The 4650-nt window shown below is 40.3% G+C and overlaps 1 gene segment (V, D, J or C); it reads right to left on the bottom strand.

Annotated features, from left to right (window-relative positions):
- Nucleotides 1–3101: 3101 nt before the first annotated feature.
- On the bottom strand, nucleotides 3102–4283 carry LOC107987384 (immunoglobulin heavy variable 2-26-like). The segment is given in 3 exon segments: nucleotides 3102–3232; nucleotides 3846–4151; nucleotides 4238–4283. Coding segments are annotated over 3 exon segments (483 nt in total).
- Nucleotides 4284–4650: the final 367 nt, after the last annotated feature.

Raw genomic sequence — 4650 nt, 5'->3', positions numbered from 1 at the left:
TAACTGGCATGGGATGGCATCTCTTTGTGGTTTTGATTTGCATTTCTCGAATGACCAATGATGATGAACTTTATTTTATATGTTTGTTGGCTGAATAAACATCTTCTTTTGAGATGTGTCTGTTCATAACCTTCCCTCAATTTTTGATGGGGTTGTTTGTTTTTTTATTGTAAGTTTGTTTAAGTTCCTTGTAGATTCTAGATATTGGCCTATTGTCAGATGGATAGATTGCAAACAATTGCTCCCATTCTGTAGGCTGCCCATTCACTCTGAAGATAGTTTCTTTTGCTGTGCAGAAGCTCTTTAGTTTACTTAGATCTCATTTGTCAATTTTGACTTTTGTTGCAATTGCTTTTGGTGTTTTAGTCATGAAGTGAAGTCCTTGCACATGCCTATGTACTGAATCGTATTGCCTAGGTTTTCTTCTAGGACTTTTATGGTTTTAGGTCTCACATTTAAGTCTTTAACCCACCATGAGTTAATTTTTGTATAAGGTGTAAGGAAGGGATCTAGTTTCAGTTTTCTGAATATGGTTAGCTAGTTTTCCCAACACCATTTATTAAATAGGGGATCATTTTCCCCATTGCTTCTGTCAGGTTTTTCAAAGATCAGATGGGTGTAGATGTGTGGCATTATTTCTGGGACCTCTATTCTGTTCCATTGGTCTATATATCTGTTTTGGTACCAGTACCATGCTGTCTTGGTTACTGTAGCCTTGTAGTATAGTTTGAAGTCAGGTAGCATGATGCCTCCAGCTTTGTTCTTTTTCCTTAGGATTGTCTAGGCTATATGGGCTCTTTTTTGGTTCCATATGAAATTTAAGGTAGTTTTTTTCTAATTCTGTGAAGGAAGTCAATGGTAGCTTGATGGGGATAGCATTGAATCTATAAATTACTTCGGGCAATATGGCCATTTTCATGATATTAATTCTTCCTATCTATGAACATGGAATGTTTTTCCATTTGTTTCTGCCCTCTCTTATTTCCTTGGGCAGTGGTTTGTAGTTCTCTTGAAGAGGTCCTTCACATCCTTTGTAAGTTGTATTCCTAGGTATTTTATTTTCTTTGTAGCAATTGTAAATGAGAGTTCACTCATGATTTGGCTCTCTGTCTTTCTATTATTGGTGTATAGGAATGTTTGTGATTTTTCCACATTGATTTTGTATCCTTAGACTTTGCTGAAGTTGCTTATCAGCTTAAGGAGATTTGGGGCTGAGATGATGGGGTTTTCTAAATATATAATCATGTCATCTACAAACAGACACAGTTTGACTTCCTCTTTTCCTATTTGAATACCCTTTATTTATTTCTCTTGCCTGATTTCCCTGGCCAGAACTTCCAATACTATGTTGAATGGGAGTGGTGAGACAGGGCATCCTTGTCTTGTGCCGGTTTCCAAATCCACCATGATCAAGTTGGCGTCATACCTGGGATGCAAGGCTGGTTCAACATATGCAAATCAATAAACATAATCCATCACATAAACAGAACCAATGGAAAAAAAAACATTATTATCTCAATAGATGCAGAAAAGGCCTTCAATAAAATTCAACACCGATTCATACTAAAACCGCTCATTAACTAGGTATTGATGGAATGTATCTCAAAATAATAAGAGCTGTTTATGAGAAATGCATAGTCAATATCATACTCAATCCATACTGTTTTCTATAGAGGTCGTACTCGTCCACATTCTCATCAACAGTGTCTAAGAGTTCACTTTACATTTCATCCTCTCCAACATCTGTTATTTTTGACTTTTTAATAATAGCCATTGTGAACGGTATGATATCTCACTACAGTTTTAATTTGCATTTCCCTGATGATTAGTGATGCTGAGCATTTTTTATGTATCTATTGTCCATTTTTATGTGTTATTTACAAAAATGTCTACTCAAGTTGTTTGCTCATTTTAATGGGGTTATTTGGTTCTTGTTTTCTTTCGTAGTTGTTTGAGTTTCTTGTTAATTCTGCATATTAGTACTCCGTCAGAGGCACAGTGTGCAAATATTTTCTATCATTCTGCACTTTGTCTGTTCACTCTGTTGCTGTGAAGAAACTTGTTAGATTCATTAAGTCCCATTTGTCTATTATTTGCTTTTTGTCTTTTGGTTTTTGGCTTGTGCTTTTGAGTTCTTAGTCGTAAATTATTTACCTAGGCCAGTGTCCAGAAGAGTTGTCCTGGTGTTTTATTTGAATACGTTTACAGTTTGAGGTCTTACATTTAAACCTTTAATCTATTTTCTGTTAATTATTTACATGTTGAGGGTGGGTGTCCAGTTTAATTCATGTGCATATAGCTATCCAATTTCCCCAGCACCCTTTATTGAATGAGGTGTCCTTTCCCTGGTGTATACGTTGGTTAATTTTTGTTAACTTTGTCAAAGATCACTTGGCCATAGATTATGTGGCTCAATTCTGGGTTCTGCAAAATGTACCCAAGAGCCTTGATTTTCCTGGGGCCTCAATACTGATCTGCTCACTGCTTGAACTCCGTTGACTCAGTGATGCTCCTATCATTGTAGTGGTTTGTTGTCATGCGATGGCTTTCCTAAAATTGTGGACAATTCTGTTTTCTTTTTTTTTTTTTAATTATTATACTTTAAGTTTTAGGGTACATGTGTACAATGTGCAGGTTAGTTACATATGTATCCATGAGCCATGTTGGTGTGCTGCACCCATTAACTCATCATTTAGCATTAGGTATATCTCCTAATGCTGTCCCTCCCCCCTCCCCCCACCCCACAACAGTCCCCAGAGTGTGATCCCCTTCCTGTGTCCATGTGGTCTCATTGTTCAATTCCCACCTATGAGTGAGAACATGTGGTGTTCGGTTTTTTGTCCTTGTGATAGTTTACTGAGAATGATGGTTTCCAGTTTCATCCATGTCTCTACAAAGGACATGAATTCATCATTTTTTATGGCTGCATAGTATTCCATGGTGTATATGTGCCACATTTTCTTAATCCAGTCTATCATTGTTGGACATTTGGGTTGGTTCCAAGTCTTTGGTATTGTGAATAGTGCCGCAATAAACATACGTGTGCATGTGTCTTTATAGCAGCATGATTTATAGTCCTGTTCAAACTTGAGCTAGGAATTTCATAAGAAAAGTGTTGTCGAATTTTTCATTTCTTTTCCACATTGCTCCTCAGACTTACTGAGATGGGTTTCTGATGTCAAGCTGAGGCATTTTACTTTCCAAGTGTTGGATTTTATACTTACCTGGGTATTTAATCACCCCCTGTGTGGAAATCAGCCTCATCTATCACACCTTCCCTATAAAATTTCTAGAAATTTATTTGTGCACTGCAAGTGAGACACTCCATGATGAGGACACATTCTGTCTTTCTTGTTGTTTCATAAAATTACTTTATTAGTGTAAATTTGTCTCTGCAAGAAAAGATGGTATCTGGATTTTAATTAATCATCCTGCTCTTTTATCTCCACATTCTTCTCCAACACTATTTCCTGCAGTTTAAGAATGTCATATGTTATAGATATTTGTATTCAGACCCTTGGAAGGATATGAGCTCAAGAAATAAGTGGCCACATATCAGTGATGCATGTGGCCGAGGTAATGGGACTCTTAGATGCTCAATCTTTGTCAAACAGGATACAGCCTCTGCTTACATGGATCACTAACAGGGAGCATGACATTTAATAATACAGAATAGGAAAACAGACAGGGCTCTGAGTCTGGTTGGTATAGGAAACACAAGCCCTGGCAGGAAATGGCATCTCAGTCACACTTTCCTGTTCTGCAGAGGTAGGGAGGGAGCACCACTGAGACGCAGCCTGGGTTCTTGTACAGGAGGCATCCTGGGCTGTGTCTCTGTGCTCTCCATGCACAGTAATACGTGGCTGTGTCCACAGGGTCCATGTTGGTCATGGTAAGGACCACCTGGCTTTTGGAGGTGTCCTTGGAGATGATGAGCCTGTTCTTCAGAGACGTGCTGTAGGATTTTTTGTCATTCAAAAAAATGTGAGCAAGCCACTCCAGGGCCTTCCCTGGGGGCTGACGGATCCAGCTCATACCCATTCCAGAAGTGCTGAGTGAGAACCCAGAGAGAGTGCAGGTCAGCGTGAGGGTCTCTGTGGGTTTCACCAGCGCAGGACCAGACTCCTTCAAGGTGACCTGGGACAAGACCCCTGTGGAGAAGACATAAGAAGATGAAGCCCACAAAGGAGAGAACTGATGTTTCACTTCTGAGGAAGTCCCTGACCACAACACTCACAGGAAGGGGTGGTCAGCAGCAGGAGTGTGGAGCAAAACGTGTCCATAGTGGGGGACAGGAGTCACTGAGCGAGGCCCCATTCTCGGCTTTTGAACCCAGAGGAGGGTGGAGCTGGTGGAGATTTGCATCCCCTCATCTGAGTCCTACTCTATGGGGTGCACTCAGGTCTCAGGACTCAGTAGGGGAGTGCATCTGTGGTGAAGAGCAGTGAGCCCTCAGGTGTGGACTTCCACGTGTGCTCTCCATGGGGGACTCCATCTCATTTCAGGACCATGCCTTTCAGCCAAGGCTCTGAGATTCCTGCTCCTACAGACAGGGTCTTCTCTAAGTCTCACCCAGGCAGCATGCAGCTTTCTGGTTTTAGTCCTAGAGGATGAGAGGAGAAATCAATAGAGATGGTTTTCTTTCTTCCT

This window comes from Homo sapiens, assembly GCF_000001405.40.
Source record: "Homo sapiens chromosome 16 unlocalized genomic scaffold, GRCh38.p14 Primary Assembly HSCHR16_RANDOM_CTG1".
Taxonomy (NCBI): Eukaryota; Metazoa; Chordata; class Mammalia; order Primates; family Hominidae; genus Homo; species Homo sapiens.
This window is presented reverse-complemented; position numbering and strand designations above follow the sequence as displayed.